Source organism: Homo sapiens, chromosome 2 (assembly GCF_000001405.40).
Source record: "Homo sapiens chromosome 2, GRCh38.p14 Primary Assembly".
NCBI classification, from domain to species: Eukaryota; Metazoa; Chordata; class Mammalia; order Primates; family Hominidae; genus Homo; species Homo sapiens.
The window spans coordinates 191,187,596-191,211,639 of record NC_000002.12 but is presented as its reverse complement, the minus strand read 5'-3'; the positions used below and the strand labels follow the sequence as shown (position 1 = coordinate 191,211,639).

The 24,044-nt window shown below is 40.0% G+C and overlaps 1 long non-coding RNA gene across 1 annotated transcript in view, besides 3 other annotated features; it reads right to left on the bottom strand.

The window, feature by feature from the left end:
- LOC105373804 (uncharacterized) overlaps positions 4,382 to 24,044 on the bottom strand; it is a 29,389-nt gene continuing 9,726 nt past the window's right edge. Inside the window, exons 2-4 of the long non-coding RNA XR_923707.3 lie at positions 11,449 to 11,512; positions 7,141 to 7,237; positions 4,382 to 4,466 (exon numbers count right to left, since the gene is read on the bottom strand). This is a non-coding gene — a long non-coding RNA (uncharacterized LOC105373804). The remainder of the gene's footprint in view (positions 4,467 to 7,140; positions 7,238 to 11,448; positions 11,513 to 24,044) is intronic.
- Positions 6,920 to 7,039: an enhancer, noted in NCBI's record as "active region_16880". NCBI's record gives its function as "activates an Ori minimal core promoter by ATAC-STARR-seq in GM12878 lymphoblastoid cells {active_cell/tissue: GM12878}" and the evidence as "EXISTENCE:reporter gene assay evidence [ECO:0000049][PMID:35858748]".
- Positions 21,014 to 21,211: a silencer, noted in NCBI's record as "fragment chr2:192055155-192055352 (GRCh37/hg19 assembly coordinates)". NCBI's record gives its function as "represses an EF-1alpha promoter that drives an FKBP-Casp9 reporter gene in an ReSE screen in phorbol 12-myristate 13-acetate-treated (for megakaryocytic differentiation) K562 erythroleukemia cells {active_cell/tissue: K562(+PMA)}" and the evidence as "EXISTENCE:reporter gene assay evidence [ECO:0000049][PMID:32094911]".
- Positions 21,982 to 23,181: an enhancer, noted in NCBI's record as "BRD4-independent group 4 enhancer chr2:192053185-192054384 (GRCh37/hg19 assembly coordinates)". NCBI's record gives its function as "activates an origin of replication core promoter dependent on BRD2, P300/CBP, MED14 and CDK7 cofactors, and independent of BRD4, by STARR-seq in HCT116 cells {active_cell/tissue: HCT116}" and the evidence as "EXISTENCE:reporter gene assay evidence [ECO:0000049][PMID:35650434]".

Here is a 24,044-nt window from a genome sequence, read left to right as displayed (position 1 = left end):
ATCATTGATCTGTGGGACAATATCAAGTTTTCTAAAATATATGCAATTGGAATTCCAGAAGGAGAGGAGAGACATGGAGAGACAAAAAAGTTTAGAGAAACAATGACTAAAAAATATAAAATATAGTGAAAAGTATAAACAATCATATTTTAAAATTGCATCAAACACAAGCAGAGTAAACAACAACAACAACAAAAAACTACACAAAGGCACATTATAAAGTTCTGAAAATCACTGACAGAAAACCCTAAAACTTAAAGTATAATAATAATTTTAAAAAAAAGGAAAAAAAGAAAAAAAAAAGAAGAGTAAGCATAGAGGGGAAAGAAGACATGGAAGCACAAAGATAGAAAACAACTGACTCATTGTCAGAAACTACATAAGACTAAGAAAATGATTTGACATCTTTAAAGTACTGAAAGAAAAAGAAAATTGTCAGTGTAAAATTTTATATCCAGAAAATCAGACCAACAAAACCTGAGAGAATTCATCACCAGCAGATAGATGTTCTCTACAAGAACTGTTAAAGGAAGTTTTCTAGGCAGAAGAAAAAAAGAATCCAAGAACAGATGGGATAAATAGACTACAAAGACAAATAAATGTAAAATTATTTTTAAATATTAGTAAACTACATTCAGTCATATTTTAATCATATTTTTAAAAGATAATACATCATGAAAAAGTAGAATTTATACCAGGAATGTAAGTATACTGTAACATTCAAGAATCAATAAATGCAATTCACCACATAAGTGTATTAAAAAACAAACCATATGGCTGTCCCAATAGATACAGAAAAGGCATTTGAAAAAGTTCACCTTCGGGCCATGATAAATATAGTCAGCAAACTAGGAATAGAAGGGAACTTCCTCAAATTGATGAGGGCCATCTACAAAGAACCTATAGATAACATCATTCATAATGGTGAAAAACTGAATACTTTCCCACTAAGATTGGAAACAAGGTAAAGGTGTCCATTGTTACCATTTCTAATTAATATCATAATGGAGGTCCTAGCCAATGTAATAAGGGAAGAAAAGAAAATCAGAGGGCTACAGAATATCAAAGGAAGATGGTAAAACACACATGCACAATAACTGTCTGCATAGAAAACCCTAAGGTGCCTAAAAAAATGATATAAGGATTATATTATAAGGCTACAGTTACTAAGATAAGTTTGTATTTGTGAAGGGACAGACAAATTAACCAGTGGAATAAAGAGCCTAGAAACATCCCTCCACGTGAATCAAAATTTGATGATGGCAGAAGTAGTATATCAGGTCAGTAGGAAAATAAAAATATGCAAAAAAGTGATATTATATTCCTACTCTTACCACATACAAAAATCAACTCAAGATGGATTAAGGACTTAAATTTGAAAAATAAAACCTTAAAATTCATATTAGAAAATATAAATAAATATGATTTAGTCCTTAGGATAGGGAAAGATATGCAAGATTATTCAAAAATGTCTGCTACAAACATTGATCAGTTGTATTAAAATTAATATATTTTGTTTATCAAAAGATATCTTAAAATAAAAAGAAAAATGTCAAATTGAGAAAAGATACTTGCAATAGACACATTATTAGTATCAAGAATACATAGATTCTACCAATCGACAAGAAAAAATACACAAAATAAGAAAAAGAAATGATAATAAAAGACATTTATCAGAAAAGGAAACAAATACAAACATACAAACATATGTTTAGTATCATTAGTGATGAGAGAAATACCAATCAAGAATGCAATAAGATACCATTTTATACCTATTTGATTGGCAAAAATACAAAATAAATGTTATATTTTCAAGCAATAAGAGTCTAATGTATTCCAGTTTGGCTGAAGGGTAGTATGTGTTTTACATAATAATCTTATAACAGCAGTTTGAGGCTAACCCATAGAGAATATTAAATGCTATTAAGTTGTGTAATTCCAAGTACCTGAGGTTGTAAGATAACCTCTGGATATTCAGATTCTCTCGTTGAAATGGAAAGTACTTTTCCCCAAAGTGGTGATCTATGACTTAGCTCTTCAAGGCATCTTCTCTATTCTCTTTACAAACCACTGGTCACATGTTTTATCTTACAGAATGTAAAGCATGAAAGAAATGCTCCAGTTTTTATATAACTTTTTATTTTGGCATGCAACAATCAGTATTTCAACTTAAAGGAATGAGGAAGATGGGGATTACAGACATTTTGGTAAGTGGAAGAAATTTTTATTTTTTTGTTTCAATAAAACAGACACCTTTATTGACTGAATGAAACTCTTGACATCTCTCAAATGCTTGGAAAACCACATAGGAAATAATGGATTAGATTTCATATTTAGATAAAAAATGTGTTTAAGGGCTTAAATTATAGAAAGGGTAGCTGTGATTAAACAGTATCTGTGTGAATAAAAATGCCATCTGATATTACAAAATATATACATTTTTTTCAAAGCCCCTTCATATACTTTTTTGTATTGAAAAAAATTCCATAAGGTAGGGTAAATATTATTATTCCCATTTGCTGAGTGAGATATGAGGGATAAAGACTAAATGACTTAGCCTGAACTGGATGGCCTCTTAATGGTAAAGCTAGGATTAAAACTCAATTATCCTGATTCAGAGTCCCATCTTATTCTTTCTCTCCTCTCTTCTCACCTCTCTCTGTTCTTCCTTCCTTCTTCTCACCTTTCTTTTCTATTCTTAATATTAACAGCTTTTAAAAATACATATTTATTATTGACAATTTAGAAAAGCATGAAGAAGAAATTAAAATTACAATCCTACCATTCAGACAACCACTATGGAAATATTAGTGCACAGTTTCTAGTCTTTTTCTTTCATTCTTTCTTTTTCACAGATAGAGTCTTGCTCTGTCACCAAAGCTGGAGTGCAGTGACACAGTCATGGCTCACTGAAGCCTTGACCTCCCAGGCTCAAGCTATCCTCCTACCTCAGCCTCCCTAGTAGGTGGGACTATAGGCACGCACTACAATGCCTGGCTGATTGTGCTGTTGTTCTTGTTGTTGTTGAGATAGGGTCTTACTATGTTGCCCAGTCTGGTCTCAAACTCCTAGGTTCAAGTGATCCTCTCACCTCAGCCTCCAAAAGAACTGAGGTTACAGGTGTCAGCCACTCTTCCTTACTTTAGTCTTCTTTGTTCATGTACATTTTAAAAATAGGAACCACACTTGGTTATAGCTTTTGTTACATGCTTTTTCACTTAATGATATAATGTAAATATTTTCCCAAATGATTAAATATTTTTCAGAAACACAAAATGTTGGCTGCATAGTATTGCAGTATTTGGATATACTAGAATTCATTTAACCAGTCCACTCTACTGTTGTAGATTGCTTTTGATGCTTCGCCATTAAGAACAAGACAGTCCTGCACATATATATAAATAAATCTTGATTATTTTGTAATGATAAATTCTTAGAAGTGGCATTCTGGCATACTTTTTTTTGTACTCTAAAACATATTGTCAAGTTGCAATTTAGAAAAATTCTACCATCAGCTATGAGTGTGGGAAGTGCTCATTTCCATGAGTCTTTGCCAATATTGTTATTACCATAAAAAGTGATGGTTAGATCAATGAAAGTAATATTTATTCTTTTAGCAGATATTTAATGAGCAATTACTATGTGCCAGGCACTGTGTTGGGTGCTAAAAGTCATCTTCCTCCTCAAAGAATTACAGTCTAGTGGGAGTTATATTCAAGTAATTTTTTTTTTCTTGAGACAGTATCTTGCTCTGTCACCCAGGCTGGAGTGCAGTAGCACAATCATAGCTCACTGCAGCCTCCAACTTATAGGCTCAAAGAATCCTCCTACCCCAGCCTCCCAAGTAGCTGGAACTATAGGTGCACACCACTGTGCTAGGCTATTTTTTTTTCTTTTTACTTTGTATAGAAATGCACAGGGTTGGGGGGCATCTCGCTTTGTTGCCCAGGCTAGTCTCGAACTCCTAGTCTCAAGTAGTTCTCCCCCACCTTGGCTTCTCAAAGTGCTGGGATTACCCACATGAGCCACCACACTGGCCCAAGTAAGTTATTATACTTCTGTTCTCACGCAGTACTATAGGAGCACAAAGGAAAGATGCCTTCTCTTGAGGGACCATAGATGGCCCCCTGGTAGAAGTATGCCTGAGTTGAGGCTTCATGGATGAGTAGGAAAGAGGAGATAAATGGTCGTAAAAAGGTTCCAGGCAGAAGAAACAACACATACAAATGGAGAGGTGAATATGGTGTATAGGTTCAAATGCCTTCAAGCAAATAAAGCCTCACTCAAGCTGGCTAAGCCATGAGCCAATTTAGGATCTTACATAACAAGAGGTCCTCTGCAGTGTGGCCTCAGGCAGAGTCCACATGGCTGAGCTCCTCTGCTCTGTGTTGTCCTGGCTCTTCCCTCCTCCCTGTGTTCTGCTCCATCCTCGGCATAAGAAGATATATTGTCTTTCCCACATGACCCTTTAGGAATAATAATAATAAAAAAATCTCTTTTGATCCCAAGCAGACAACTTCTCATGTCTTATTGGCCAGGCTTGGGTCACATACTTCTTCCGGATCAAATTGCTAGCTAGGGGAGTGAGATCACTATGTTTGGTTTAGACTAATCACTCGGAGAGTTGAGGAGTCAACACCCCATCCACCACATGAGGAAGTGTCAAGAGCTGAATAAGGCTGCAGCACAGACAGGAGGTGGTGAGTGGCAAGAGATGAGGCGCCAGAAGCTAAAGGAACAAAAGGCCGTTTCATGAAGGAGGATGGAAGAGTGTCCAATGCTGCAGCGAGGTCAAGTGGCAGAAGGTTGACAGTAATTACTGTCAGCTTACTGGGTGCATACGAGAGCAAGTTTAATTGTGATGGTTGAAGTCAGACTTCAGAGGTTTGGAGACTAATGTGAGATGGGGTGGAATAATCACGGCGTGGATTCTCTCACAGGAAGTGAGGCCGTGAACAGGGCGAGAGGCGAGAGAGTGACAGGAAGAGGTAGAGCAGAGTCAAGAGAGAGGCTTTTTAGATGACAGAGGCTAGAAGAGGCTTAAATGATAAGGGAAAGGAGAAGGGAGAGAGGAAGAGTGGAGGAGAGGGGGAAGAAAAATGGGATTATCATTTCCCCGAGGAAGCTGGAAGGGTGGCTATCCGTTGGTGGGGAGGGAGTTCCGAGGAGAATGGAAAGCTTTGAAAACTCTTCCGGGGAAGGGAGCATTGATCACAAGGAGCAGTGCGGAGGGCCCAGGTGAGGTTGGGGAATATGAATTTGGAGCAGCCCAGGTGGAGTAATTTCTCTCTAGGAGCACTTGGTAGCTAGGATGTTGGCTTGGAGGTGGCAATGGTTGGCCTGATTCAGGATGAAGTGACAGATCACAGAGCTAGGTGTGATGGGAAGAGGAAGGGAATGCAGCAACCAACTACTGGGGAAGGCGTGGGGGTGTAATGGGAGTAGTTGGATAAAAGTTATGGACGAGGTGTACGTTTGAATTTTGCATTTCAGAAGCTGAACAGTTTGGGGCTATTGAGTGTGTGAGCGTGGAGGTGGATGAATAAACCGAAAAGTAAAGTTTTTATGAAATAGGATGATAGCACTCTATACATTGATTGTGAGGGTATAATGTGGGCTTTATGAAGGGCAATTTGGCAATTTAGTTTTTAAAAACTAAAAACCTGCACATCCTTGAATCTAGTAATTCTAACTGTATTCCATAGATTTACTTCCACATGTGTGAAATGATGCACAGTGAGGGTTATTCACTGAAACATTATTAATAAAAGACTAAAACCTAAATCCATCAAGGATTTGGTTAAAAAGAAGGCAGTTCCATATGTATTGATGTGGAAAGTTATTCCAATTACAGTCTTAACTTAAAAGAAAGCAAAGAGACCGGGTGCGGTGGCTCACGCCTGTAATCCCAGCACTTTGGGAGGCTGAAGCAGGCGGATCACCTGAGGTCAGGAGTTTTTTTTTTTTTTTTTTTTTTTTTTTTTGATCATTCTTGGGTGTTTCTCGCAGAGGGGGATTTGGCAGGGTCATAGGACAATAGTGGAGGGAAGGTCAGCAGATAAACAAGTGAACAAAGGTCTCTGGTTTTCCTAGGTAGAGGACCCTGCGGCCTTCTGCAGTGTTTGTGTCCCTGGGTACTTGAGATTAGGGAGTGGTGATGACTCTTAACGAGCAAGCTGCCTTCAAGCATCTGTTTAACAAAAACATCTTGCACCGCCCTTAATCCATTTAACCCTGAGTGGACACAGCACATGTTTCAGAGGAGGTCAGGAGTTTGAGACCAGCCTGGCCAACATGGTGAAACCCTGTCTCTACTAAAAATATGAAAATTAGCTGGGCATGGCAGTGGGCACCTGTAATCCCAGCTACTCAGGAGGCTGAGGCAGTAGAATTGCTTGAACCTGGGAGGCGGATGTTGCAGTGAGCTGAGATCGCACCATTGCACTCTAGCTTGGGTGACAAGAGCAAAACTCCGTCTCAAAAAAAAAAAAAAAAAGAAAAAGAAAAAAAGAAAAAAAATAAATTATAAAATCTTACCGTTTATGTACCAACACACACACAGAAACACATACATACACCCCATAAAATACCTATACATTTACACAGGCTGATTATAAGAGTTGTCTTTACTGGGTGTGGTGGCTCATGCTTGTAATCCCAGAACTTTAGGAGGACAAGGTTGTGGGAATCACTTTAGCCCAGGAGTTTGAGACCAGCCTGGGCAACATAGTGAGACCTCGTCTCCACAAAAAATTAAAAAATTAGCCAGGTGTGGTGGTGAGCACCTGTAGTCCCAGCTACTTGGCAGGCTGAGGTGGGAAGATCCTTGAGTCCCTGAGTTTGAGGTTCCAATGAGCTATGATCGTGCTACTGTACTGTAGCCTGGGCGACAGAGCAAGACCCTGTCTGTACAAATAATAATAATAAAGAAAAGTAAAAGGGGATTGTCTTTAGAGAGTTCCTGTAGAGCTTGGTGGCTGGAGGAGAGTAGAGGGGAATTCCTAATTTTCATGATCCTTTTATTTGCTTTCAGTTTTGTTTTTGTTTTTTAACTACGTGTGAGAAGTGGTTCTTTGTAGGAAAGAGGGGAGGGTGGGCTCTCAGATCACATTACATACCCAGGTGTCCACTGATACCCACCTGTAAGGTTTTGGGAAGACAAGATCCAAGAGGGAGAAATAGTGAATCAAGCATGCGGATTGAAGCTCTCATTCTGCTGCTCCTAGGGGCATGACCTCTGCAGGTAATGAAAATGGGAAGAATAATAGTCTTACCTCTCAGGTTGTTCTAAGGAAGCAGAGAAATTATAAAGTATTTCATAACGGCAAAACAATATTAAAAAGCAAGGTATTTATTAGCAAACATTTATTGAACATTTACTATACTCCAGGCACTGAATTAAAATGGTAATTATTTCAATACTTTATTAATAATTCTTTTTTCCTCATCTAAATGAGTGTTTACAGCTGTTCATTATTATGGTTGTTTCTTGCTAAACATGAGTTGCCCTTCTATCTGTGTTCCTAACCTGTCCCCAGGCTCCCACCCACACCTGACTGGCCTTTGTTTATACTACATTAACTAGAATAGAATTTCTTTTTTTTTTTTTTTATTATACTTTAAGTTTTAGGGTACATGTGCACATTGTGCAGGTTAGTTACATATGTATACATGTGCCATGCTGGTGCGCTGCACCCACTAACTCATCATCTAGCATTAGGTATATCTCCCAATGCTATCCCTCCCCCCTCCCCCCACCCCACAACAGTCCCCAGAGTGTGATATTCCCCTTCCTGTGTCCATGTGATCTCATTGTTCAATTCCCACCTATGAGTGAGAATATGCAGTGTTTGGTTTTTTGTTCTTGCGATAGTTTACTGAGAATGATGATTTCCAATTTCATCCATGTACCTACAAAGGACATGAACTCATCATTTCTTATGGCTGCATAGTATTCCAAATGTCCAACAATGATAGACTGGATTAAGAAAATGTGGCACATATACACCATGGAATACTATGCAGCCATAGAATAGAATTTCTTAAGAGGCCCAGGAACCCGATTCAGCCTCCAGACATGTTTTATTTGCCCACAGATTGTTTAAATATTTTTGAGAGGGTAGACAACATTGGAAAAAAAAAAGCAGATACTTTTAAAGTCCAGATTTTGAACTTTTCTAGAAAAATCAGAAGACCTGGCAACAATGTGCCTCAGGGCAGCAGACCACTGTAACCAAGCAGGGCCGGCCTCTTTGGCCAGGCTGTGCACATTCTTCCTTCTGACACGATCCTCACCCATGCTGTGTATGCTCCTGCCTGTCCCTGTGGACAGCAGAGTTTCCCACATCTGGAATAATGCCAGGGATGGCTGTTCCCTACTTTCTTGGCTTACAAGTGAGTGTGGAAACAGGGGGGCTTTCCTATTCCTGTCAGCACAGTCAGGTCCTTGTTCAGGGACCAGGTCCAGGTCTAAGAGGAAGCAGGGGACTTGGCCAGGGCACACAAAAGACACAATGATTAAAGTGTTGGAAAACAGAACCTATGAGGTAAGTTTTAAGGAACTGGATGTTTTCCTGGAAAAAAAGAGGATAAAGGATGACTCAATTGTCTTCTTTAAGTATACGGGGTAATTATGAAGAGAGTGATACCAGCTGCTCTCCACCCCCAAACCCACTAGAGGAAATGTGCGTGTCCTGTGGCAGGAGGCTTGCAGCTGAGCCATAAGGGACTTCACTAAGAATTTAGGTTGAGAGACGAGGTGCCTCCATCTGCCTCATCTGATCCTTATGAGGGTCAGGCTAGACCCTTCTGTCTGAAACTCAAAAAATAAACTGGGTAACTTCTTGAATACTTTCCCGACTTTAATTCTTAATGCCTTCCTCTGCCATATTCTCTTTTATTTCTGTAGGCTTATCAGAAGAAAGTTAGAAAAAGCTTTCCTGAATAAGAAAACAGGGCATGAATCACTTAAAATTCTCTTTAGCAACATCTATCCTTGATGTTACCACACTAAAAAATGTATGCATACTCTTTCTAAACATGCAATTAGAACACAGCTGGGAAGGTACTTAAGATTCTTTTCCCAAGTTAACTTTTTACCAGCCAAATTGCTATGGGTATAGTTTGCTCAACTGATGCTAGGAGAATAGTTCAGAGGACTTAATCGAGTGCAGTGCTTATGTAGATAAAAAACATTGCCTACATTATCCAGTCTTAGTTGTTTTTACTTAGTTTAAAAGATTATGGTGAGTTTTCATGTCTGTTCCTGTTGTGAATTCTGTGAGTCAATGCAGAGGAGCTGGAGGAATTTCCCAGATGTCACAACTACTGGACAGCATCCGGTACAGTAAATTAGAACACAGACTCTGGTTGATAAATGGTGATGGGACATTTAACACTTCAAAATAACAATCAACCTTTGTTGTGAGCCAACTGGGTGCTGAGTGCTTTTCATGTTAATCTTCATAATGACTCTGTAAGGTAGTTATCAATATTCTCGTTTGACAGATCAGAACAGAGTCAGAGAGAGGAGTAACTTTCCAAGGCCACATGGACAGCAAGTGGTGACATGCAGATTCAAGTCTAAATCCAAATTCAAATTGCTTGACTCCAAAGTCTGTGTTATTTATTTATTTATTATTATTTTTTATTTTCAAGACGGAGTCTCACTCTATCACCCAGGCTGGAGTGCAGTGGCATGATCTCAGTTCACTGCAGCCTCTGCCTCCCAGATTCAAGCGATTCTCTTGCCTCCGCCTCCCGAGTAGCTGGAATTACAGGCGCCCACCACTACACCTGACTAATTTTTGTATCATCGAGTAGAGATGGGGGTTTCACCATGTTAGCCGGGCTGGTCTCGAACTCCTGACCTCAGGTGATCCACCCACCTTGACCTCCCAAAGTGTTGGGATTACAGGCATGAGCTGCCATGCCCCACCCATCTGTGTTATTTTCATGTGACTACTTTGCTTCTTGTTTTTGGATTCACTTTGTTAGGGTGTGCCAGCCAAGGTGTCCAGCACAGAACCATACAATGGAAGGGGTAATTTGGGTCAGTCTCTCTCACAAAGAGAGCTCATGAGCTCCCAAGACAAATAAAGGTACTGGTTGACAAGTACATCACAATTAAACAGCCTCATCACCTTTCTGCACCTACAGTTCCATTTCCTACCTTGTTCATGCAGTCATCTGTCAAAGTCTCTTGACATACAACCCTAACTCCTCAGAGCTACGGTTTCTGACTTCCCACTAGTAAGCACAGTCCTTCCTCAAGACTATTTAAGCGGTCTGGCTCTTAAGTATACTGTGTTCCTTGTGGGGTGGCCCATGCATCTTGTGCAGCAGCATTACCTGGACTACTGGCTAAAAATATGAATTCCTGAGCCTCACCATTGATCTACTGAATCAGAATCTCCAGGAGCACGTCTTATCCTTAACAAGTATCTCAAGTCTTTTTCACACACACTTAACTTTTAGAATTATTGCTTGTAAAGCAATGGTTGTTAACCTTGGATGCACATTGCAATCACCTGGGGAAATTACATCTGGGCTCCACCCCCAGAGATTCTGATTTGCCTGGGCTGTGGCCTGGGCATCATATTAAGAACTTTCCAAGTGATCTTAACATACAGCCAAGACTAGCATCACTATCTTAGATCCAGAACACTGCTTCTCAAACTTGGCATGTGCATCAGAATCATCTGGAGGTCTTGTTAAAGCACAGGTTGCTGGGCCCACTCCCAGAGTTTCTGATTCAGCAGGTCTTAGGTAGGACCTGAGACTCTATTTCTAACAAAGTTCCCAGGTGATGCTGATGATACAATTTTAGGAACCACACTTTAAGAACCATTGGTTTAGAGACTCAATAATAGTACACACCACTGCTAAATTTTAAATAATTAAGGAAAAATCTTGTTGCTTTGAAGACATCATGGATATTTTTTAGCTTCCCGCCCTAATTTAAATAATTTTGCACATTTTGAGCCCACTGTAGACTAGATCAAGTCATCCTTGTTAATAGAAGAATTATTAACCTCTTTTTCCTAGAGGAGATTTAGATTTAGATTCAAGGGAGTGAAATTAGCATTTAATTGGAATAAATAATTGTGCTTCTTGGGCAAATTACCCCTGGCAAAGCTGGAAGGAATCTGAAAAGTGGAGATCCGTGAAAGTCACTTCCAATATGTGCAATAAAACGGTATGCAAAATAATGTATCTTTGCATAAGCACCTGAATAAATCTTGGCCTTGTCATTATTAGCACTGTTTCCATTCCTCCTATTGCCAGAGATGGTGAGTACAGTGATTGATTCCTTTGGGACTAGGAATCACCGGGAGAGGCAGGGTCACTGTGAATGGTCATGCAGCATGCACACTGCACAACACCATGGGCATCATTCACAGACTTCAGTGGGAATTGCACCCTCTGGAGCTGTGCTACATGGCTTACCTGGGAGAGGGCTATATTTCTTCTGGAGTTGTAGAACTCTTAACCTCTCTCTAGGAACCAGGACCTAGAAAGCATTATAACACATGTCCAGAGGTCAAAGTTCCGTCCACTGTTGGTTCAGTCCACCACACCTGCTTCCCCCATTTCCAGGTGCTGGCTCTGGATGACCCGCTGGGGAGGTGTATTAGTCTGTTTTCATGCTGCTGATAAAGACATACCTGAGACTGGGTAATTTATAAAGAAAAAGAGGTTTAATGGACCGACAGTTCCACGTGGTTGGGGAGGCCTCACAATGATGGCGGAAGGCTTACCTGGCAGCATACAAGAGAGAATGAGAGCCAGGTGAAAGGGGAAACCCTTTATAAAATCATCAGATCTCATGAGACTTATTTACTACCACAAGAACAGTATGGGGGAAATCACCCTCATGATTCAATTATCTTCCACTGGGTTCCTCCCACAACACTTGGGAATTATGGGAGCTACAATTCAAGATGAGATTTGGATGGGGACACAGCTGAACCATATCAGGAGGAATGAGGAGAACAAGAAATTCCCATGGTGTCTGTTCACATGCACAAAGAGACATGAAAAATCTTGTTGGGTGAACCCTGATGGCAGCTTTGATGGCTAGGGGAGAGACAGACAGGGGGTCTTTGTGTAGGGTGTAAGTCTTGCTCTTCAGTTGGATCTTGCTCTTCAGCCAGATTCCTTTATTCCTTACATCTTTACCTTTACACAGCCCTCTATTTTTTTTTATGTCCCCTGTACCCACTCTACAGCAACCACATATGACATATTTTTTGGATAACTTCCTATTTTAAATATTATTATCTGAGTCCCAAGGTCTGTCTGGTTCCAGCTCTGGACATGGGGTCATTCCTGAGTGCAGTCTCGAGTTCAATCAGGACATCTTTATCTCAACTCCCCCCTCAGGCAGTCACTCCTTCTAGAACTGGCATGAGCATCCTCCGTCTCCTCATATGGAAGTAGGTCTGAGGCTGAGGTTCTAAGCTAGGAGGTGGGGGAGCCATGCCAGTCAGAATATTGAAGTGAATAAGCCATTGGTTTTTATGTAAATCTTTCAGACAACAAGAATGAAATTTCAGAGGTGGATTGATCCATCTGGGCATTTCATCTCAAACCTGTTATTATGGACTAAATTTCTGTGTCCCTCCCCAAATTCATATGTTGATGCCCTAATCACCAGTGTGGCTGTATTTTGAGATGGAGCCTCTAAAGAAGTAATTAAGGTTAAATGAGGTCTTAAGGATGGGTCCCTTATCCAACAGGATTTGTGTCCTTATAAAAAGAGATACCAGACATGTCTGTCTTGCTTCACCATGTGAGGACATGGTAAGAAAGAGGCCAAGTGAACGCCAGGAAGAGAGCTCTCACCAGGAACTGAATCAGTCAAAACCTTGATCTAGGACTTCTAGCCTCCAGAACTGCAAGTAAATGAATTTCTGTTGTTTAGGCCACCCAGTCTGTGGCATTTTGCTATGCCAGCCCAAGCAAACTAATACACCCATCCTTTCCCTTCTTGCCCCATGTCAACCCAAGCTCCTCCACAGCTGGAGCTGGATCAGGTCAAGATAAGTCCCTCGTGGTACTCACCATAGCTTCTTCCCATCTCCACCACTAGCTTATAGCACGTGAGGCAGGGACTGGGTCTCAGCCACTCTCATCATGCCCCAGTGCTGAGCAGGCTCTTCCCCTGCAGTCATGAGTGAGTGCACAGTGATGGCGCATGGCTGTAGAGGGTGCGGCAGGGGAGCCCCTGTGCTATTCTTGTTACTTCAACTTTTACTTGTTTAAAATATTTGTGCAAATTTATGGACTATATAAAAATTGTTTTACATGTGTATAATTTTAGTGATCAAGTCAGGGTATTTAGGGTGTCCATCCCCTTTTACTTTTAATGCTACATTAAGAAAGCATCTACTCTCACTGCTAAAACATCATGTGAATTCACTAAGGCAAGGAATGGCTAAGATGCCAGAGCAAAACAGAGTGAACACAGGTTATTATGTCAAATGTAGAAGACAAAGAACTTTGCATCCTCTGCCCCAGCTCAGGCACCTGTCTCCTCATGCTTGGCTGGGATTGCAGACTCTTACTATGGTGGACAGCTTGAGATGCAGGAGATGGTTGTGGGGCAGGAGGGCCAGGGAGCCACTTTCTTCTCAGAAGGCTGGAAATCCTACATCAGGAGTCCCTGACATTTAACTAGAATGATCTACCCATCCTTAGCAGGAAGATACTCAAAATATCTGACACCTGGTAAGGTAGTTGTTCACAACCCATGCAGCTGTATTAGTTCATAACAGCTGCTCATCAGCTCTGCAGTGAGCTCAACATTATTTCCAATTTTCCCATTTGCTTCAGACACAAAAGCCACATTCGTGGGCACAGCTAGATCAGGGCAGTTCAAATCCAGCCTGTGCAATTCATCAAAGGTCTATGAGTGCCACCATGAGAGTTACCCATAGAACTAATTCACTTAAGAAGATGGCGGCAAAAGACCCAGCTCTAAATCAGATACATGTTTAACTAATGCAAATGTTGCTTCTGATTTTAAACCAAATATTGGGGAACCAAAGAAATAATGCCCATAGCAATCCTTGCCAAACACAAATATATCAAACACACAAATTGACATCTTATTTTCATGAATACCTTCTTCACTCCAAGCTTTCAAACATTGCAAGGAATCAATTTAGAGAGATCTAGGGAATACTCCAAATAGAAGGTTTTGTTTATACTCTAGGAGTTATGTAATGTAATGTGAAAAAATTATTTCTAGTAAGTCCTGGCATAAATTGTGTAAGCTGAGAAACAGTGATAAAGGAAGTGGATGTAACTGAATGTAAGGATCCAATCCAAATTGTTCAGGCCATATATAATTCTTGCACATACTGGAAGCACATATTTTGAGAGGAAACTTTGGAATGCATCGGCGTGATATGGCAAAGTAGAATTGCTTGAATTCTGCTACAGGATTTTATATAGAAGTATTCATTTCAGCCACAGTAGTACCTCAGTTATTCAAATGCCGTTTATGTAGCAAATGTATTCAGAACCCAGAGAATCTGGAAAAAAAAAATGAAGGCCTTATAATGATTAAAATATGTAAGTCCATGCACTAAATGCCATTCATTTTACTTCCTAGAAGAAATCCACATTACTCAAAATCCCTACATAATTTTCTTTTCTTTCTTTTTTTTTTTTTTTTTTTTTTTTTTTTTTTTGAGATGGAGTCTCGCTCTGTATCCCAGGCTGGAGTGCATTGGCGCAATCTCGGCTCACTGCAAGCTCCGCCTCCCGGGTTCACGCCATTCTCCTGCCTCAGCCTCCCAAGTAGCTGGGAGTACAGGCACCCACCACCACGCCCGGCTAATTTTTTCTATTTTTTAGTAGAGACGGGGTTTCACCATGTTAGCCAGGATGGTCTCGATCTCCTGACCTTGTAATCCACCCGCTTCGGCCTCCCAAAGTGCTGGGATTACAGGCGTGAGCCACCAGGCCCGGCCCATAATTTTCTAATAGGTTTGGATATTTGATATTGGAATATGGCAGAAGCTGCTAGTGGTTGACCCCAACAGCCCTTCTTCTATTTTTACTTGTTATCAGAAACTCAATTTTATTCAAGGAACTCATGTACTCAGGTAGAAACTACACTTCTCAGTATTCTTAAAGCTATAAGTGTGACAAACTTTTGAGCAATGGGATACAAGCAGAAATGTTGTTGTAAAGGAAGTCTAGGTTATACCCCACCATGGTGGGACCCAGCCCTCTGCCTTCCTGCCTTCCTGCCTTCCAGTCTGCTGTCTGGAACTCTGGTCTGTTGTCTCTAGGAACCATCTTGGACACATGAGTTACACCCTATGGATATTTCAGCAGAGAGCTAAAGGAGCCTGAATGCCTATGAAATTCAAAATGTGCCATACTGGTCTTGTGCTACATATCTCTGGAATTCTTATGCATGGCACGTAAATAAGTTTCTTTTTTTTGTTTTAGCCACGTTAGTTTATTCTAAATGTTTACCTGTGCATACAAGTTTATCCTAATAAATATGCTCAACATAAATAAAAAATAGTAAATTGTTAGCTTTCTGGTTACTAGAAACGATAATATATGGGAGGAAGGATGTCTGACATCCTTAATAATGAAGGAGACATTAAATAAAACAAAACCCCCAAACAGCCAAACCTATAAATAAGTTTTCATGGAAACACTTTTAAAGGATAGCATTCTGTTATTCCTATTAAGGCAAATTGTCCTACAACTCTCTCGTAGGCAATGAAGGCATCAATACATAATAGAAAATCAGAATCACCTGAATTAATAATCATGGCTCGGAGTCATCAAGAAAAAAGCAAGTTATGTTTGGTTTAAGAGAGTACATAGAAATAGTTTAAATCAAAATATCTTATTTTAAAACAAAAATTTTTCCTAATGAGCAAACAAAAGGAGCATACTTTCTGGAAATCCTATAATATGAAGTAGCACTTTTTTCAGTATTTAAAATAAATGTGTTTTCACTGTACATACATGGTTTTGTTTGTTTGGACATTGTGCTGATTTTATGTAAACGTTATTTTCTTAAAATATTTTTTCCACTCTAATAATTTTATTTTGGTCTGCATTCCAATTAGACATACATTTTTTCCATAAAAAATTAAAATGAAATAAAACCAAAATGATAAGAGAACATAAAAATTTCAAATAATAGGCTTGAGCTTTGGAGCCAACAAAATAAAACAGTTATGCCTTTCTTACTCCTTTTAGTTACTGGAGAGTTTTTGTTCTTTTATTCAAATTGTGTGAAAGTCTCACCTGAGTAAAGGTTTGCACAGATGAGTGGAGAAAGGGTCAGCTCTTTCTGGCAAGGATCAGAAGTCAACCTAAAGGCAATTTGATCTTTAAGCCAAACCCGGATACATGAGAAACCTATGACAAATGGGAAATCTACTGAGAACTTGCTGGCTGTTTGCCATTCTCTGAACAAGACTAAAGATGGCAGGAGCATAAACAATGGAAGCAAAAGATTGAAGAACAAAAACATTTGAATAAAATCCCTTCATACTATCTTCATTCATGCAAAACAACAGGAACCCTTCCCTCCAATGCTTTAAGACCTTCCATAAGGTAGATGCCATCACCACCTACTCCCTTGGAATCCTCCAGTTTCCAGTATTCTTCAGGTGTCTTATCAATTATCATAATTTTTGCCCACTAAAGTTATTAGCTCCATAAAGCAAAGGACTGAGTCTCTGTCAGCCGCATTTATATATACCCATGACTTGCCTAGCACAGGGCCTGGCAAACAATAGACACTCATTTGGACATTGGATGGATAGATAAATGGAAGAAGGAAGGAAGGGAGGGAGGGAGAGAGAAAGCAAGAAAGGAATTTGGAGGAGGGTATGATTAGGCATATAATAGGCAAAGGAAATTTAACCAAAAAGTTATCTTTATCTCTTACTCTCTTCAACCTAACTTTTATTCTCTGAAAACATTGGGGTTCCTTGGGAAGAAAAGGAGAGAAAATGTAAAGAGGAAATAGCAGAAAACTGTAATGAGATGCAATTGAAGCTATGGAAAAGGTTGACCAAATTAGGTTCTCTAATCTTCATCCCTACGCACACACATACACATACACACACACACACACACACACACACACACACACACACACACGCCGTTCTAATATATATATATAGCTGTCCAACACGGGCCAGACATTGGCCCCTAAGAAGAGTTACCCTGAATAGACTGTGTGAATTAGCTAATAGTCAATAATATGAAAACTTCAGACAAGTCTGACAATAAGCCCACTGAAGGGACTTTCCTGTGTGGTAAGGCAAGGCCCAGAGACCACACTTGAGGTGAATGAATTTGCATTATGCTTCACTTTCCCTCTAACTCTGTAGTGCTCTGGTTGAAGAGTAATAACAAGCCTACAGCCTGGACAAGAAAAGCAGAAAAAGGAGGTAAAGAGGCCCAGCTTATCCAGAAACTGAGCAATACACCTGTAAGAACATTGAGTAAACCACAACTTTGCAACTCATTTCCTTAACTAGGAACATAAAGTTCAACAAAAAGCCACAGAAAGAGATGAACAGAAGAATGATGCAACATGCGATAGACATTAAGGCTGCTTACTGGTGTTTCTTGTTCTCTTCTTCTAGGCTCAAGGAGGACAGCTTCCTCCCCAATCTACTGAAGTTAGGTGTGGTCATATGATTTTCCATGTCAGTAAAATGTGAGTGGAAGTGACAGGGGTCACTTCCAGGTGAAACATTTAAAAACTAGTGAGAGATTCTCCATGATCCTTTTCCCTTCTGCCACCATGATCGACAGTTTTCCAAATGATGGTGCGTTCACACTCTGGGTCCTGGAGTGAGGATGATATGCAGTGGGAGTTAGCTAACTACAGCCTGTGGTCACCTGTTTTTGTAAATAAAGCTTCATTGGAACATAGCCGTACCCATTTGTCTATGCATACTTTGAAATGACAATGGCAAAACTGAGTCGTTACAACAGGGACCATATAGCCTAAAAGCCTATTCACTAAGTGGCCTTTTAAGAAAACATTTGCAGACTCCTTATATAGACCCTGATCCCCCAGCCCCGCTTACTTCAAGTGGATATGTAGGTTGAAGGGGAAGACAAGCCTTTGTTACTCTATACCAACAAAAATTGGGGGCTTTTTGGTTACTTGTATATAACTTAGGTTATTCTGACTGACACAAAACTCTTTAAAAATCACTTAAATTGTATGCATGCTATTAATAGAAATATTCTTCAAGAACTAGTGAAAACAACTAGGATAGTACTAAACACAGAGCAAGTTCTTGGGTAGTAAGTTTTCCTTTTCTTGGTTCGATATCATCACAGACGAGGGGTGCAGACCACAGGTGCAATCAGGAATGGGCTATGTGGCAGCTCCCTCAGAATGCATTGCCACTGCTACTATAGCAGTAGCTTTTCAACAATTTTAAAAGAAGATATTGACATGGCAGTTATTAAGATGGTTCACGCCTGTAATCCCAGCACTTTGGGAGGCCGAGGCAGGTGGATCGTGAGGTCAGAAGATAGAGACCATCCTGGCTAACTCAGTGAAACCCAGTCTCTACTAAAAATACAAAAAATTAGACAGGCATAGTGCTGGGTGCCTATAGTCCCAGCTATTTGGGAGGCTGAGGCAGGAGAATGGCTTGAACCCAGGAGGCAGAACTTACAGTGAGCCAAGATCGCGCCACTGCACTCCAGCCTGGGTGACAGAGTGAGACTCCGTCTCAAAAAAAAAAAAAAAAAAAAAAAAAAAAAAAAAAAAGATGGTTAAAAGACATTAGAAGAGGCTAAGTGAAAGCAAACATGGGTCTGTTCCACACAGGGTGGAAATGTCAATTGTCAGAACACGAGGGGTTTAGAGAAAGGAGGCAAAGAGTGATCCTTTTTTTATGATTGCTTCTGTGATGCTGAAGCCCAGCTATGCATTTGAATCAGAGGTAAAAAAAAACTGGACTTAAGTGGCTTCAGTAATAAAAATGATTTTTGAATCATTATGTAATTATTCAGTAATGAAAATGAAGTTTCAACGATGTAAATATATTTTTTTTAAATTCTGGAAGGAAGAAAGCTAAGAAAATATTTGCTAAGTGTTTAATAATAATACGAACACTTTAATGCTGTTATAATGTTCCAAGCACTCTTCTGAGCACTTGACATATTTTAGCCCTTATTATAATCCTAACCCTATAAGTTAGGTATTATCATTTTCCCCAGTTTACTGATAAAGGGGTGAAGCACAGAGAAACTAAGTAGCTGGCCCAAAGTCAGCAATTAAAAGAGGTAGAGCAGGGTTCAAATGCAGGCATTCTGAGTCTAGTGCAATGTCTCTTAACCACCTTGCGCCATTGAATGTTCACAGGTGTTACCACTGGACTTGGGACACAGTATGAAGGCAAAGACTCATGGCTAGGCTGCTGTGTTATCTATGGTGCTTTTTGCTCTAAGTATCAGAAAACCCAATTCGAACTTGCTTAAACAATGAGAAAATGTATTATTTCATGGAACAGAAGCCCAGAGGAAGGACAGCTACAAAATTGGTTGAATCAGTGATTTATTGATGTCATAAAGAACCCAGGTTCTTTTTTGCCTTTTGATTCTGTTATCCACAGCATTGACTTCACCTAAGGCTGGTTGCCCTATGGTCAATAATAGCAACCAGAAACAAGGGGCACATGTATTCTTCTTTGTTGCTACCCAGCCAGAAAGAGAAATACTCCTATCCTCTTCCATTCTTTCTGAGCCAAATCAGGTCACGTGTTCATGCCTGGAGGGTGGAGGGGAAGGAAACCAGGGCAATGTCACATGTTGTTTGTCTTAGAAAAAAACAAGATTCCTAGAGTTGGAGAAAGGGTAAATTTCTCCTGAGTCAATCCTACTGCTAACTAAGGGATTTAATAACTGAATAAAGTCAGCCTTTGGTTAGCAAGGAGGATGAAGTTTGATGGGAAAATAATGGACAGTGTCCACTATTGGCAGGTATTCAGCTGAAGCATGATCACATCTGCCAACTTGGTTATTTCTGCTACCCTTTTCCTTGGGGTCCTTCCACAGAGACAATGTTTTGAGATGGTAAAATTCATACTGTCCATTGCATCATGAATTTCAATATTAATTCTGAAATCTGTTCATGAGCAAGTTGTTTCAAAACTTGAGAGACTAGATATACAAAAGGACAATGGCCACACCACACATAGAAAATAAAATTCTGACCCACAACCCGAGGAAACCGGTCCAGAAAGTCAGTCTACTATCTACAGTAACCAGTTCAGGAAGTCAGACTACTATGTCTAGCAGGCAGTCCATGAAATAAACAATAACTCTCATTGGCCCAAAATGGCCAGGGTTTGATTAATAACTGACAACTTCCACATTTTTGCCCCTCACCCACCCCGGCTTTCGACTTAGGACCAACTAGAGAAAGCCAACTATGTACATCTCAACAATCACATAGGATGTCCCACTTCTAGTTGTCTCACCTACAGCTTCCCCATGCCAATAGCCTCCAGTTGGGGCGTACCTGAAGACTTCCCTTTTTTCTGCTATAAAGCTTTCCCACTCCTCTGCCTGCTAGAATCTCTGCCCAGTGCAAGTGATGGTGGCCAACTTCCTCACTGTAGCAAGTTCTCAGTAAACAGTCTTTGCTTGTTATCATTTGGGTGATCTTCATTTATTTCCACATTTTCTGAGCTTCAGTTTCTTCATTTGTAAAAGTAGGGATAATAATAATAACAGCTTTGGAGGGATGTTGTAAGGATTAAATGAAATGAGATTACGTATTAAAGCCCTTAGCATGTTAATTGTTATGGACTGAAAATTATCTCTTGAGAAATAATTGCTCCTTTGACTGGTGGGCATATTTATGGGGGGCAAAGAAACTCTGCAGGTATCACCATAGGGCGTGATTCAGAAAGCAAAATAAATACTATGTGGTCTAAGCAGAAAGGCCTAGGGCCACACAGCTGTTTTCCTGTGTGAGCAAGGAGCTCTTTTGTACACTTTGCCTGAAGTGCCCCTTAATGAGTGGGTCCTTCACTGGCCTCTATGCATGTTGCTTACGGCAATGAACCTGGCCTGGATTGTGATAAGTCAAAAATGCACAGAAACTGTTGACAGCATCCAGTGCCAGCACTGTATCTTGTACATAGTAGGTAGATAGTATATATTTATTAGGTGACTGACAGAATAAACATATGCTATTTACCACTGCCAAAAACCTGAGAATATGCCAGGTGTGGTGGCTCACGCCTACAGTGTCAGCTACTTGGGAAGCCAGAGTGGGAGGAATGATTGAGCCCAGAAGTTTGAGGCCAGCCTGGGCAACATAGCAAGACTTTGTCTCTAAAAAATTTTTTTTAGTTTGAATTAAAAAAAAATTTGAGAATAGATTTGCTATTGCATGTGGAAACTATTTTCATGTAGTCTAAGAAGCTAAAATTTCAAGGATCTGTGATGAAAATAGGTGCTTTGGTCTTCACAAATATTTCAAACTACAAAAATTAGAATTGATTCCTACAACTGAAAGAAGGACAAGAAGAAATTTGATTAAAATATAATGAGGAAGAGGAAGACATGAAGTGGGAGAGAGAGAGAGAGACAGAATGAGAATGAGATTTTTTTTCCCATGGGAAGTAAGAGGCTGCCGTGGGAGACATCAGAGGACAGAATGGGATAAATACCTTACGGAGCAGGAGGAGAAAGAGGTGATTCATTTTCTCAAGATTAATTAAGAACATTTTAAGTATTTGTTTGTTTGTTTATTTATTTATTTATTGAGATGGAGTCTTGCTCTGTCGCCCGGGCTGGAGTACAGTCGCATGATCTCGGCTCACTGCAACCTCCACCTCTCAGGTTCAAGTGATTCTCCTTGCCTCAGCCTCCCAAGTAGCTGGGATTACAGGCGCCCGCCACCACGCCTGGCTAATTTTTTTGTATTTTTAGTAGAGACGAGGTTTCACTGTGTTGGCCAGGCTGGTCTCAAACTCCTGACCTTGTGATCTGCCCACCTCAGCCTCCCAAAGTGCTGAGATTACAGGCATGAACCACCGCGCCAAGCCATTTTAAGTGTTTATTGTGTATACCCATCTATGTTGTAGATTATTCTGATTAAAAAGAGTTTAGTATCTAAGAGAAAGGTAAAGGTGGAAAGAGTGAAAGTGAAAGTAACTGTGGTTGGGGAGAATTCCAGATTAGAGTCAGTTCATCCTCCAAACACTGCTCCTAATGATCAAAGAATATGGGAAGCCATCTGATCATACTGATTCAGAGAAAATACAGTGAAGTACCTGCCTGACGTAAGGTGAGTCAGGACTACTCCTCACGAAAATGATTTATGGGATTCTTCTGGTTCATAATGACCTCTCAGCATGAAAAACCTAAGAGGCATCCCACTCAGACACCCAGTCTGAGCACGTGCAAACACATAAGCACCCGGGAGTTGGGGTGGGGGAAATAGTACTTCGAAGGTGGTAATTGTAGTCTCGGGTGCAATAGTCTGAATGTCATGTCCCTCCAAAATTCATATGTTGACATCCTAACCCCCAATGTGATGGTATTAAGAGGTAAAGCCTGTGGGAGGCAATTAGTTTACAAGAATATAGCCCTCCTGAATGGGATTAATGCTGTTATCCAAGAGATTCAAGTGCTGTTATCCAAGAGAACGATAGCTTATTCACCCCTTCTGCCCTGTGAGGTTACAGCAAAAAGCAGCTGTCTGTGAGCCAGGAAGAGGCCCCTCACCAGACACCAAATCTGCTGGTGCCTTGATCTTGGTCTTCCCAGCCTTCTGAGCCTTCAGAGCTTTGAGAAATAAATTTCTGTTGTTTGTGAGCCACCCGGTTTATGGTATTTTGTTATAGCAGCTGGAACAGACTAAGACATCTGGCAAACACTGAAAGCTCAAAGACTAAAAATTAGTCTTTGATTATCTGTCACAGAAGATAGTAGGGAATCAAAAGAGCCCTGTTTCCTTTAAGTGATAAAACAGCGAGAGACTATTGGGAGGCAGAGACTTCACTACAATCTCCTGCTGCATGCCTTAAACAAGAATGATTTTTTAAAAAGCTCAGGCCTGATGTTTCAACAATTGCCAGACAGATGTTTGCTGTAAGGGCCAGGGTCTGTGCTCACTCACTGCTTCTCCATTTGGATCAATTACCTGAATAACTCCACTTCTCTTCTTTCATGACAGTAACTCTCCATTCTCCACCTCTCCATGGGAAGTAGATGCTGTGGCAAAAGGCTGTTAACATCCACAAATAGACCCACACAAATTTATTTAACTGATTTTTGATAAAGTTGCAAAAGTAATTTAATGGAGGTAACTTCTGAACAAATGCTGCTGGAGCAACTGAACATCCATCAGCACACACACAAGAGGATATTTGACAAAAGTCTTGCATTCTACACAAAAATTTACTCAAAATAATGTGCTTCAGTGAGCCAAGATCATACCACTTCACTCCAGCATGGGCAACAGAGTGAGATCCCCTCTCTGAACAAAACAAAACAAACAAAAACTCAGAATGGGTCATAGACTTAAATGTAAAACATAAAACTATAGAATGTTTACAGAAAAAACTCATAGTAGAAAGTCTTTGGGACCTAGAACTAGGTAAAGAGATCTTAGATGTGACACTAAAAGCACAATTCATAAAAGGAAAAAATCAACAAATTGAACCTAATAAAATGTAAAACTTGCTGCGAAAGCTTATGTAAGAAGATAAAAAGCTATATACTGGGAAGAAAATATTTGCAAACCACATATCTTGCAAAGGACTGGTATCTATAATAAGAATTCTCAAAATGCAGGACTTGAAAAAACAAACACTCCAGTTAGAAAATTAGACATTTCACCAAAGAGAACACAGAGATAGCAAATGAGCATATAAAAAGATATTCAACCTCGCTGGTCACTAGGGAGGTACAAATTGAAACCACAGTAATATATCACTACACACCTATCAGAATGACTAAAAGGAAAAAGAGTGACAATACCCAATGCTGGGGAGAATGTGGTG